At 38.9% G+C, this 14,088-nt stretch overlaps 1 protein-coding gene across 1 annotated transcript in view; it reads right to left on the bottom strand.

The window, feature by feature from the left end:
- IRAG2 (inositol 1,4,5-triphosphate receptor associated 2) overlaps window positions 1-14,088 on the bottom strand; it is a 110,761-nt gene that overhangs the window by 62,040 nt on the left and 34,633 nt on the right. Inside the window, exons 13-17 of the mRNA NM_001394803.1 lie at window positions 13,927-13,991; window positions 12,349-12,448; window positions 10,509-10,643; window positions 9,610-9,711; window positions 8,159-8,322 (exon numbers count right to left, since the gene is read on the bottom strand). Coding sequence (NP_001381732.1) covers window positions 8,159-8,322; window positions 9,610-9,711; window positions 10,509-10,643; window positions 12,349-12,448; window positions 13,927-13,991 — 566 coding nt within the window. The remainder of the gene's footprint in view (window positions 1-8,158; window positions 8,323-9,609; window positions 9,712-10,508; window positions 10,644-12,348; window positions 12,449-13,926; window positions 13,992-14,088) is intronic.

Raw genomic sequence — 14,088 nt, 5'->3', positions numbered from 1 at the left:
TGATCTTAGAGGAAAAACTTTGTGTTTTACCATTGAGTGATGTTCACTGAGTTTTTCATACATTACTTTTATTATGTTGAGATAATTTTCTTCTATTCCTAGTTTCTTAAGAGTTTTTACACAAAATACTGTTAAATTTTATCAAATGTTTTTTCTGCACCTATAGAGATGATCACAAAATATTTATGCTCCATTCTGTTAATGTGGTATATCAAGATAATCAATTTGCATATATTGAACCATCCTTGCATCCCAGAAATAAATCCCACTTGGTCATAGTGTATAAGCCTTTCAATGTGCTTTTGTATTTGACTGGCTTATATTTTCTTGAGGATTTTGCATCATCAGGGGTACTGGCCTAGCTTTGGTATCAGGATAATGCTGGCCTCATGAAATGAATTTGTAAGTGTACCTTCCTTTTCCTTTCCTTTTTTTTTTTTTTTTTTTATCTTTTATTTGGTAAAGAATTTCAGAAGGATTAGCGTTAATCTTCTTTAAATGTTTGGTAGAATTCACCAGTGAAGCCATCTCATACTGGGCTTTTCTTTTTTGGGAGGTGTTTAATTACTGAGACAATCTCCTTACTGGTTGTAGATCTTTTCAGATTTTCAATTTCTTCATGATTCATAAAGAAATATGATGGGGTGTATGTTTCTGGGAATTTTTCCATTTCTTCTAGGTTATCTAATTTGTTGGCATAAAATTGTTTATACTAGTCTTTTATAATCCTTTGTATTTCTGCAGTTCTAGTTGTAATATCTCCTTCATTTCTGATTTTGAGTCTTCTTCTCAGTCTAGCTAAAGGTTTGTTTGTCTTGTTTATCTTTTCAAAAATCCATCTCTTAGTTTTGCTGCTTTTTAATTGCTTTTCTATTTTAAACAACTTTTTGCTCTAATTTTTATTATTTCCTTTCTCTTGGGAAGGAACTTTGGGCTTAAGTTGTTCTTTTTCTAGTTCATTGAAGTGTAAAAAGTTAGGTTTATCTGAAATTTATTTTCTTTTTTAGTATAAGTGTTTATCACTATAAAATGCCCTCTTAGGAGTACTGCTTTTTCTACATCCCAAAGATTTTGGTATGTGCTTTTGTTTTCATTTGTCTCAAGTCTAATTTTCTTTATTTCTTCATTGACCTATTTGTTGTTCAGGAGTCTGTTGTTTAATTCTCACATATTTGTGAATATTTCCGTTTTCCTTCTGCTATACATTTCTAGTTTTATTCCATTATGGTAGGAAAAAGATAATTAGTATGATTTCAATAATCTTAAATTTGTTACTCTTTGTTTTGTGACCTAATGTGTGGTCTATCCTGAAGAATGTTCTATGTGCATTTAAGAAAGATGTATATTCTACTGCAGTTGGGCAGAATGTTCTGTGTTAGGTCCATTTACTCTCTAGTGCCATTCAAGCCTGCTGTTTCCTTATTGATTTTCTGTCTAAATGTTCTATCCATTATTGAACATGAAATACTACAGTCTTTTATTATTTTATTGCTGTCTATGTCTTCTATTTCCCCCTTCAGTTCTGTCAGTGTTTGCTTTATATATTTAGGTTCTCTAATGTTGGGTGTGTAGATATCGTATTTTCTTGGTGAGTTGATCCTTTTATTATATAATGTCCTTCTTTGTCTCTTATGACAGTTTTTGACTTAAAGTCTATTTTGTCTGATATAGTTACCCATACTCTCTTTTGGCTACCATTTGCTTGGAATATCTTTTTTCATCTCTTCACCTTCAGTTTATGTATGTACTTAAATCTAAAGTGAGACTCTTGAGACAGCATATAGTTGAATCTGGGCTTTTTAAAATTTAATATGTTCAGCCCTCTATGTCTTTTGATTGGTAAGTTTAATCCATTTATATTTGAAGTAATTATTGATAGGGAAGGACTTACTACTGCCATTTTATTATTTTTCTGTCTGTCTTGTAGTTATTTTTTCCCTCTTTTCCTCTCTGCTTGCCTTCCTTTGAGTTTTGTTGACTTCTCTGTATTAATATTCTTTGATTCCTTTCTTTGTGTGTGTGTCTGCTCTATAGGTATGTTCTTTGGCATTACCATGGAGCGTACATAAAACATCTTATAATAGTCTATTTTAAGCTAACAACCTAAATTCCATCACATATAAAAACTCTATTCTATTACTCTCTCCTTCAAACACTTTATTATTGATATCATAATTTACATATTTTTAGTTATGTATCATAAACATTTTTATAGTTATTTTTACTTATAATACTTTTAACTTTTATATAAGAATTAAAAGTGATTTAACCACAACCATTACAGTGTTACAGTGTTCTGTGTTTGTATTTTCTTTTTGTTAAAATTCTTACTTTGCACAGGCATTTTCTTCTGACCACGAGCATTTTTATGGGATTCTCTGTCAGGTAAGTTCTTTACCTGTTTCATTAGGGTCCGTTTCTGGAGCTTTATTTTGTTCCTTTGTTTGCAACATATTTTCCTACTTCTTTATTGTCCTTGACTCTTTTTAACTATGCATTAGAAAAAATAGCCAACTCTCCCAGTCTTCACATACTGGTCTCATACCGGAGAAATCCCTTAATCAATCCAGGAAGAGATTCTGGAGGCCAGGGGTGGTCTCAAACACTCACACTAATCCAAACCACCATTTTTGTTTCTAGCAGCCCCCAGGCATCTAGAGCATGATGCATCTCATAGTACTCCGAGACAGGTAAGACAGAAGCCAATTCTTTGGGCAGCATCCAGAAAAATTGAAACATTGGATACATAATCCAGCTCTTCCATCCTTTCATCCCTGGAAAGAAGCTGAGACCTAGGGCTTTTCACTGAGCTGGGAGTAGGGGCTCCAGCAAGCGCATGCATGCTAGTTCAAACTACCTTCTTCGTTTTCAGTGGTATCCAGGCATCTAGAGTATGCCAGGTCCCATTAGCACTATAAGACAAGTGAAACAGAAGCCAGTATCTTAGGCAGCCCCCAGGAAAGCTGAAATGTTGGACATGTGGTTTGATTCTCCTCCCCACCCCACCATGCTAGGGAGAAGCTGAGAGCTGGAGGTTTCTTTCCATTGGCGTGGCGCTAAGCTAGGGATAAGGATTATGGTGAGGATTCCTCAGATTTTCCTACCAGCCTTGATGAAGCTGGATTCACTCTCACTCAGGATTCAGGAGCCTCTCAACTAGTTTCTGGGTTCTTCACAATAGGAATTTGTTCATGTATTGTTGTTGAATTCATGTGCTCCTGGAGAGAAGGAGGGTCCAGAGCTTCCTATTCCACCATCTTGCAGGAATCATTCCTCTTCTTTTTTTTTTTTTTAATTTCAAAGACATCACTTTTATCTACTTTTCTCTCTTACAGGAATAGTCTATATTTTCAAGAGTGTCCATTATCTTCCAAGAGAAAGCAAAAGGACTTTAAGGACCATCATAAATCCTTATTTATTAATACTCACACTTTCAATTACTTATATGTATTTTCACCAATATAACAACGTGTTTTATGAACTTTATGAATCATAAGTCTTAGAAATAGCTTTTTAAAAATACTAGATGGGGGCCAGGCGCGGTGGTTCATGCCTATAATCCCAGCACTTTGGGAGGCCGAGGCAGGTGGATCACGAGGTCAAGAGATCGAGACCATCCTGGCCAACATGGTGAAACCCCATCTCCACTACAAGTACAAAAAATTAGCTGGGCATGGTGGCACGTGCCTGTAGTCCCAGCTACTCAGGAGGCTGAAGCAGGAGAATCACTTGAACCTGGGAGGCAGAGGCTGCAGTGAGCCAAGATAGCACCACTGCACTCCACCCTGGCGACAGAGCGAGACTCTGTCTCATAAAAAAAAAATTAGATGGTACCATCTGTTAAAGATATTCAACAGATGATAAACCTTTGAAGATTTTTCTCCCACAGAAATTTTATCATCATGTAAAGAGGTATATATTAGCTTGTGTTTGTGTTTAAATCCAACAATTCTCCCTGCCAACATGTTCGAATGATAAATCTTGATTTCTATTCCAGTCTGCATCTTTCTCAGACTTTGCTGTCTAAATAGCACACCATTTACCTGGTTTTCAGATCAAAAGCCTCTAAGTCAAGGATGACTCCTCTCTTTCTCCACACATATAACTTGCCAGCATGTTTGATCAGATCCACCCTCAAAAATACACTTCAAATTTAATAATTTCTTATCACTTCCATGACTATTACCCTGACCCACACTACATCCCTCACCTGGACTGCAGCAATAGTTCCTAAGTCTATAACTTTTTAATCATGAAATATTTTATATTTCAACTCAGTATACAAACAAACACACATACACATACACACACACACACACACACACACACACACACACACAGCTGAAACAAAAATTCAATTCAGCACTGCTTATTCTTACTATATGTAATGCACTCTATTATTTTATGTCTTTTTTTTAAATGGGTCACAAACCAGTAAGTTGATATCAGAATATCTAAATGGTTATCTGTTGTTGAAAACCTCTTCTCTGGCTTGGTGCTGTGGCTCATACCTGTAATCCCAGCACTTTGGGAGGCCTAGGTGGGCAGATCACTTGAGACCAGGAGTTTGAGACCAGCCTGGCCAACACAGCAAAACCCCATCTCTACTGAAAAAAAAAAAAACAAAAAAAAACAAAACTTAGCGGAGCATAGCGGCATACAGCTACTTGGGAGTCTGAGGCAAGAGAATCACTTGAACTCGGGAGGTGGAGGTTGAACCCGGGAGGTGGAGGTTCCAGTGAGCTGAAATCGTGCCACTGCTCTCCAGTCTGGGTGATGAAGTGAGACTCTGTCTTGAAAAAAAAGAAAACAAAAGAAAAGAAAACTCTCCTTACTCATCTCACTGCTTTCACTTTTGCCCTCTATAAATAATTCTTCATCCAGCAGATCTTTCAAAACACAAATCACAAAGAAAGAAGAAAAAGATAAAAACAAACAAAAACAAAACACAAATCACATTTTTTCTCTGCTCCTAACCCTCTGATGGCTTCTCACCATACTCAATGAAATCCCAACTCCTAAACATGGACTGCAAAGGCTGTGTGTGGCCTGGCCCCTGTCTATCCTTCTGGCCCCACATCCTACCACTGCTTACCCCCCACCCTGCCCCAGCCATGGCGGCTTCTTGCTGCTGCTCAAAAACAACAAGCTCACTACAACCTCAGGCTCCTGGCACCGGCTCCTTGCTCTGCCTGGAACACACCCGGATCATCACATAGCTCACTCCCTCGCCCCACTCAGCTCTCTACTCAATTCATCACTCCTCAGGCAGGACTTTCCTGGCTATTCTCTCTAAAATGCTCCCAGTCATTCTCTGTCTTCTTATCCTGATTTAATTTTCTTTATAACACTCTCTGACATTATATGTTTATTTGTTTGTTATTTGCATCCTTTACTAGATGTTAGTTTCATAGAGGCAGAGATTTCTGTCTTATTTCCTATAATTGCTTATCATCTGGGGTTGGGGAAGGGGTGGAAGCCAGGCAAAGAGCGGACATCCTGACGGATGTCGTACGAATCAAGACTTGTTTCCTCACCAAGGCTTCTGAGAGAACTTTCCTGTCCATGCCTCTCTTTGGCCCACTCAATTATTTCCATTCTTCAGCATTAGAGCCTATTTGTCCCACAGCAGAATGGGAACCTTCTCTTCCTCAGTAAATAGCCCCTAAAAATTTACCTTTAATAAACATTTCCTACCTCATCTAAACAGAATTCTCTCTCATCCTCACAAAATACTCCATTTATTTTCTTTTTCTTTTCTTTTCTCTCTCTCTCTCTCTTTTTTTTTAAGAGGCAGTGTCTTGCTCTGTCTCACAGGCTGCTAGAGTGCACTGGCACAATTATAGCTCACTGTAGCCTCAAACTCCTGGGCTCAATCCTTCCACCTCAACCTCCCAAGTAGCTGAGACTACAGGCATGCATCACCATGCCCAGCTCATTTAAAATTTTTTTTAGAGACAGGGTCTCGCTATGTTGCCCAGGCAGGTCTGAACTCCCAGGCTCAAACTATCCTCCTGTCTTGGCTTCCCAAAGTGCTGGGATTACAGGCATGAGCCGGGGCACCCAGCTATTTACTTATTCATAGCTAAAATCCACAGTCAAATTATTTTGTGTGTAGCCTTTATGTGGCTTTGTCAGTTTTAAATTGTGTCCAAAAGCCAGAGGTTATAACCATCTTATGCTGATAAGGAGTATTTTGCCCAATGCCAGGTTCCCAGAATATTTTTAAAGAATCTTGTATCAGATTTAACAAGTCGATGGTGGGAGATCAACCATCGAAAGGACACAGGTTCTGAAGTCAGACAGAACTAGGTCTGAATCCCAGCTGTCACTTAATCCCAGCTGGGTAACCTTGGGCAAATTATGCAACCTCTCTGGATATAAATATATGTCAGATTCTTAGCACTACATCTGACACAGTAGCCTCTAGACAAATGACACCTACTGTTATTTAACCGGGCTGCTTGTATGTCTAAGTAGGACAATACAGAAGATTCACTCATTTCGAGATGACATTAGTGCAGACCTCTCTCCAAATAGTTCTTTGTTGCTAAATAGAAGAATGTTGCCGGGTGTGGTGGCTCACGCCTGTAATCCCAGCACTTTGGGAGGCCGAGGGGGGCGGATCACGAGGTCAGGAGATCGAGACCATCCTGGTTAACATGGTGAAACCCCGTCTCTACTAAAAATACAAAAAATTAGCTGGGCGTGGTGGCGGGCGCCTGTAGTCCCAGCTACTCGGGAGGCTGAGGCAGGAGAATGGCCTGAACCCGGGAGGCAGAGCTTGCAGTGAGCAGAGATCACGCCACTGCACTCCAGCCTGGGTGACAGAGCGAGACTTCGTCTCAAAAAAAAGAAGAATGTTGACGCTGCCTTTTGTGGAGACGGTATCTGTGTAAGGAAGCTGCGTGTCCACTTAGCCCCCATCTTTTACCACTATGGGGAAGTGTGGGTTCTCTGCTTCTTAGGGAAAGCAGAAGATCATTTTCTTGAGAGTTCCTCTGGTATTCTCTCTCTGGTATCTAGTTTCCTTATATTTGGGGGGAATAAAATAGTTTCTTCTGGCTATTTGCTTCAAGCTTACCTCAGTCTCTAATTACATTTTAAAATTTTGTTCAAGTGAAATATATACCTGTGTTCATTTGCTCATTTGCTCAAAAAGCATTTCTTAAGTAAGTGCTAAGTATGGTCCTAGCAGCTATATAAATGGTAGTTAACAAAAGATATAATCACTGTGCTTATGGTTTCCAGGGTGTAAAAATTTCAAGAATTTCCCCATTATCATAAGAATTGAGGGTAGAGAAAGGATAAGAGGGTAAGTTATTTTATATTTGTTACCATCTATTCCCTATGACTCCATTTAACTGACATTTAGTTGCCCAGTGCCCAACATGATACACTGAGGTCAAACATAAAACCCAGTGGGGAGGAGCCAACAGACCTGGCTTCAAGTTCTAGAGCTTCCATTAGTAACTCTCAGGTCTTAGTCAATTCACTTTATCTCTTCATGCCTTAGTCCTCTGAAAAATTATGAGGTTACTAGAGGCTCTCTAAGGCTTCTTCTGGTAAAAGATTATATTTTGTAATTCCAAATTCCTTCTCTAGGGAAAAAATAACTCAGTATACTGGTTTCCACAGATTTTTTTTTTTTTTTTGAAATGGAGTCTCACTCTGTCACCCAGGCTGGAGTGCAGTAGTGCAATCTCAGCTCACTGAATCTCTGCCTCCCGGGTTCAAGCAATTCTCCTGCATCAGCCTCCCAAGTAGCTGGGATTACAGGCATTACCACCACACCCAGCTAATTTTTGTATTTTTAGTAGAGACAGGGTTTCACCATGTTGGCCAGGTTGGTCTCAAACTCCTGACCTCAGGTGATTCGCCCACCTTAGCCTCCCAAAGTGCTGGGATTACAGGCGTGAGCCACCGCGCTTGGCTGGTTTCCACAGATTTTATAGTTCGTCATTTGCAATTTTGAACATGTAAGTCAATTTCATACTATTTTACAATTCAGAATTATCAAACAGAATATCTTCTCTGAAAAAAGTATCATCTGAAATCAATGTATACAACTTGCAGAAAGTAAACTGAATGCAGTGGCATGATCATAAACATGTCATGTATATAAAGCATGGATTTCTTATATATAAATGATCATCACCTGGCAAGAAATTCTTTTCTGAAATAAAAATATTCCTGCCTGAATCTCTTCAAAATCTCTATTAATTTGGCAAATTCTTTATCAAGAGACTCTTTGTGGTTTCCCAAGATGTTCAGCATTAATATGCAAAGATCTAGCTTCTCTTCCATGATATTGTTGAATTCCTACAAGAAAAGTCACAAAACAAACCCCAGTACTCCAATGTTAAACACGGACAAATGACAGAGGCAATCTAAAAAGCTGTGGACATTCCATCTCAATGGCATACTGGATGCCAAAACTGTATGTCAATGAGTACCAATTCTCAATTGTATGTTAATTAATACCAATTTCCAATTGCCCAGAGATTGACTATCCTATTGGTTATGTCAATGTAACAAGTATGTATAAAGTGCCTATTATGTCCCTAAAACTGAGCTTTGCTTTCTTTTTCTTAAGTTTCCCCTGACAACTTCAGTAGTCATCACAATTGCTTTAGAACAGGATGGGACAAGATAATGCAATAATATCAGTATTTACAGATTATCATATTCACATGTAATCTTAAAAAAATTAGATTGACTGTAATCCCAGCACTTTGGGGGGCTGAGGTGGGTGGATCACCTGAAGTCAGGAGTTTGAGATCAGCCTGGCCAAAATGGTGAAACCCTGTCTCTACTAAAAATACAAAAATTAGCCGGGCGTGGTAGTGCATGCATGTAATCCCAGCTACTTGGGAGTCTGAGGCAGGAGAATCACTTGGACCCAGGAGGCAGAGTTTGCAGTGAGCTAAGATCACGCCACTGCCCTCCAGCTTGGGCAACAGTGAGATTCCTTTTTAAAAAACAAAAACAAAAAAAAATTAGATTGGCAAAGGAGTTGAAATCATATTCCAGAGTTTACTTTTTTCTTTAGCTTAACTTAAGGGGCTGATGGATGCTAGAAAGTGGCTGGCAGTCAAGAAGTAGAGGTAAATAGGTGAGGGACAGATGAAAGAGATACCTTCTCATATGCTTCCTTTCTAATAAAGCTGGGAATAGCTACCTAAGAAGTTCCTGTTTTTCCAATGTTCTGCAAGTTCCTGAGATAGTAAAACCGTCAAAGTCTCAGGAATAAGATTCTGTTACACAGTAATCATTCTTTCAAAGTTAGGCAATTTTAATAGGCTAAGGAAAAATCTTAATTTAGACTAGCCAATTCTTACAAGGAGATAAATGCATTTTTTTCATTAAATCATCTTATTTATTATTTTCTCTCCATCACATCTCACATATCTGCACACTCACTCTCTCTCACATACTTTCCTCACCCTCACACTCATATACACCCCTGGACACACAGTCTATACTCATGATCAGACTAAGATAGCAGAAGACTACAATAAAGTCTTAGAAATGGTACTGTATATACTATTACCTGGCTTAACAAAGTAGAAGAAAAACCAGGAAAATCATAAAATATAAAACACTTACAGTAAGCTGCTCCTCCCACTTTTCTTTCACAGTAATTTCTGGATTAGTTACCCACCGTCGAGAGTTTTCAATGAGGGTTGCAATTTTAGAAATTTCTTCGTGCTGAAAAAAGAGTTCCACATCTTCAACTAGGAAGACATATGCTATTATATAATCAGAATCCATTGAGACCAAAATTCTACTATATAGGTAACTCAGGAAAATACCAGAATACGTTCCTTTGCATCTAATGCCCCCAGTGACTTTCTTTTATTCCAGGATGTTGCCATGTGTATATGCTATATCATCAGGTGCTCTATACATGTTGAATATATACAGAGAGAATCATTTTCCAGAACAAACCCCATCTTTTTAAATAGAAGAAAACAACCATTTTCACTTATTTTTACCGTTCTAAAATGTACCAAAATGTACAAAATGTAAAATGTACCAAAATGTACCAAACTAAATGCTACCTACTATATGCTAGGCACTATGAAAGGGACTGGCAATACCAGTATGAAAATATTGTTCTCTGATTTCTCCAATCATCCAGAGTTTCCAGTGAAAAGTCAAAATGGAGAAAGGAATACCAGCCATTAACCAGAAGAAAATTTAAAGAAGGAAACTGTTCAATAGATACCATGTCTTCAGCCCTTTGATACTAAAGATTAGCTCACAGGAAAAAATAACCTCAAGCAATCCGTATCTAATGGTCAATCTGTTAGCCCTGATTGACCCAGAACTAAAAGGCCAGCTTCAGAAAGGTTTGAGAAAAACCTTCGCTTTTCAGAGTGTATTAATTTGGGTCTCAGCAGCACACAGATACATTTGGACTCAGCAAACAGGTTGCAGGTCAGTTATCTGCAGATATTGCCAGCCAAAACGGAACACCATGATAAAGGTATGTTATACGATACCAGCTTCTGAAGCGTGGCTGTGAATTCCACTGCCTTCTGTGCGGGCTCTCTTAGTAATAGCAGCATTTCCTGATCCATCATGGCGTCCAGAGATGACAAGTTGATTACATTGTGCTGCCTTTCTGTTTCAGTGTTCTGAAACAAGGATCGAAATGCCCACAATTGACATCTGAATAAAGAACATTCATTACTTTCACTTAACAAAAATGATGCTCATGAGTTAATGTCATTGTCCTTGTCATTTGGTTCTCAATAGTCTTGTGAAATTCTCCTACATCCTAAAAAAGCTGTTGATATTTTCTCTCTGGGATGGCTCCAATTGAACATTTATTCTGTCTTAAGGAAAACTCATTATCAATAGATGACATTTACATGCTGATGATATAAACGGTTATGGCTCTAATTTTAACATAAAAATAGGTAAAGAAATACCCAGGGGGAAAAAATTGATGGAGAAGGGCTGCTCCATCAATCCCACTGAAAACAGGTTGGCTTCTTTTGTCTCCCTTCCATTCATAAAAGACCATATGATGTTTCACAAAGTACATTCCCTATACTTCTCTCAAAATCTCTGCCTCCTGTCATATTTTAAATATATGACCCAAGTCTTCTTTTTGCTGCCTGTTGAAAAGGTTACAGGACTCTTACTTTGAGATTCTAGTTAGAAGACAAACTTCCCAACTCATCAGTGGGTAAACCTCAGAGCCAGAACTTTGCCGGCTGATAACCTTCCTGTTTAGAACTATAGAACTTTCTGGGCTGGCATCTTGACATCATTATTATCTCAGAGGACTGAGGATAAAAACACACTGCTGTGGCAGATTTGCCACAGTTTCATTCAGTCTGGCAGTTTGGCTTGGTTTCAAAAACACAGTGAAATGATGAGTATTTGAAACAGAATGTCAGGAAAGCACAGCCCTCAGCAGAATGTCCAGGGCTGCCGGAGATGGCTTCAGATGAAGGCAGCATATGTTGTCCCTGCATCCTTGGCAGAAGCAATTCAAATAGCGTTTGCCCAAAGGCATTCTTTCTCTCCTTTCAAGGTGGCATCACAGCTGTCAACAGGAGAACATTCTGACATATCTATCGTCCACAGATAGGAAGAGACCATCAAATGGTGAAAAGAAAGCATTTTTCTAAATAAAGCATTTCTGAGCATAACAAGCACAAAACTGGAGAATACAAAGGAATGAAAATATAGCATAAGGGAGTCAGAACATCTTTATCCCCGAGAAGGTTTTTAAAATATTTCTTCCCATGTTATAAAGTACTGGGTCTACCAAACAAATGGAAATTGTTTAAACTAATAAATTCATTTTGCCACTTTAAAATTAACCAAAACACATGTAAGAAAATGCTAGTTTCTGTTCAGAATGTAATAATCAATGTCATTAATTTGGGCTGATACAATTATAATCTAAAGCAAATAAATTTGGTATTGTTTCTGGGCATCTTTATTTTTTGATAAATATATTTACTTTCAGGGTTTGGAAAATTCTAAAAAATAACTCATGGATATCTACTGCTACCTTTGGGATCCCAGGCTGGGGAATCAGGGCAGGTAGTCTGTCCTGTCAAGAAAACAAAGATTTCTAAAGTCCCAAAGTCCCTGAATGCACACTTCCACAAACCTTCAACCTTGCTGTAGCTTTCGGCCGTAACTTGAAAATGGTCCTTTCTCCCCAAGCTAAGAAACTTTAGACTTGGACTCTAAGAACTATCAGCACATTCTCTCAGTGTCACTGGTAGTTTTTGGCAAGCTGTGAACCTTCATTAAATCATAAGCTATCACATGGGGTAGTTATCTTTCAAAGCTTTCCATCTTCTTATAATGACCTACCTCTGCAGACTGAGCAAGAGTGAGTTCGTAATGTAAAGACTTTTCTCCTTCAGAGATGATACTGTTACACTCTCCATTAACATTCAACTGGATCCCATTTCTTGAGAAAAACAAAAACAATAGTCTAGTTAGGTGTGCCTCCAACATTACGTTTGAAGTCAACAGAATATAGGGTCCATTTATCACGAAACAATCAGTGCCATGTGCCAAGGATTGTATAATGTGCTTGGGAATAGGGAGAGTGATCAGAAATTGTCTCTGTCCTCCAGGAGCTGCACAGACTGGTGAGTCTAGGAGGTCATACACCAGGCCACAGTTTTTAAAAGAATTGGTACCAACAGTTAAAAATCAGAAAATGTCACTTAAAAATCTGGATTTCTGGCTTTTCTTCCAAAATCAGAAGATGTGGCCAGATTAGGTCCATACCGTTTTGATGTCACAATTAGTTGGAGCTAAACAGAGTAACCCCTTTGCCTTTATATCGGTAATGCACTTATCTCCTTTTCCATTTGCATAATGTAGATGCGTGCATATTCCATTAGCTTTACTCATTTTTGTTATCTGAGTGGCTCCTGTGGATCCTGGACTAGCATATTACTCACATTCAGAAACAAATAATTATCATACAGGATGATGTGTGTTAGGAAAGAGGTGAGAACAAGGTGCCATGCTTACATTCAAAACAATTACTTAGGCCAGGCTGGGTGGCTCACACCTGTAATCCCAGCACTTTGAGAGGCCGAGGCAGGCAGATCATGAAGTCAGGAGTTCGAGACCAGCCTGGCCAACATGGTGAAACCCCATCTCTACTAAAAATACAAAAATTAGCCAGGCATGGTGGCATATGCCTGTAGTCCCAGCTTACTGGGGGACTGAGACAGAAGAATTGCTTGAACTCAGGAGGTGGAGGTTGCAGCGGGCCGAGATCACGCCACTGCACTCCAGCCTGGGTGACAGAGCAAGACTCCACCTCCAAAAAAAAAAAAAAAGAAAGAAAGAGTTACTTAGTTCCAGGGTAAGGGAAAAGCAAGCAAGGGAAAGTCAACACAATGGACTGAATGTTTGTTTGCCCCCCATTATTTCATATATTGAATTCCTAACCCCAATGCGATGGTATTTGGAAATGGAACACTTGGAAGGTAATTAAGTTATGAGGTTGGAGCCCTCATGAATGGGATTAGTGTCCTTATAAGAAGAAGCCAAAGAGTTAGCTAACTGCTTTTCCTCCATGCTTGTACAAGGATAAGTCGGCAATCTGCAACTTAGTACAGGGCCCTCACTAGAACTCAACCCTGCTGGCATCCTGATCTTGGAGTTCCAGCCTCCAAAACTGTAAGAAATAAATGAGTATTATTGAAGCCACACAGTCTATGGTATTTTGTCATAGCATCCTGAGCTGTCTAAGACAATCAGGGGTCATAGAAAACTCACAAAGAAGTTCTCATGGAGAAAAATAGAGAAAATATCACATACAAACGTATAGAAGAAAAGAATGTGGCACATACAAAGCTCAATTGGGCCAATAATGTAGGGTAGAGGAACAAGAGAGGAGGCTGGCAAGGGTTGCCCTCTACTTACGTGATGAGTGCCTGTTGCAAGTGCTGTAACTCATGAGCCAGTTTACTTTTTTCCCCTCGTAAATTCTGGAATCGCACACAACATTAGGCTGTACATGTTACTCTAGTGGGGAATTTACATTTAACAAGCCCACCTTGCAAGGTGTGAGATTAATAATAACAG

The sequence above is a fragment of the Homo sapiens genome, chromosome 12, assembly GCF_000001405.40.
Source record: "Homo sapiens chromosome 12, GRCh38.p14 Primary Assembly".
Lineage (NCBI taxonomy): Eukaryota > Metazoa > Chordata > Mammalia > Primates > Hominidae > Homo > Homo sapiens.
The sequence above is the reverse complement of the archived record's forward strand: the minus strand, read 5'-3'. Positions and strand labels throughout refer to the sequence as shown.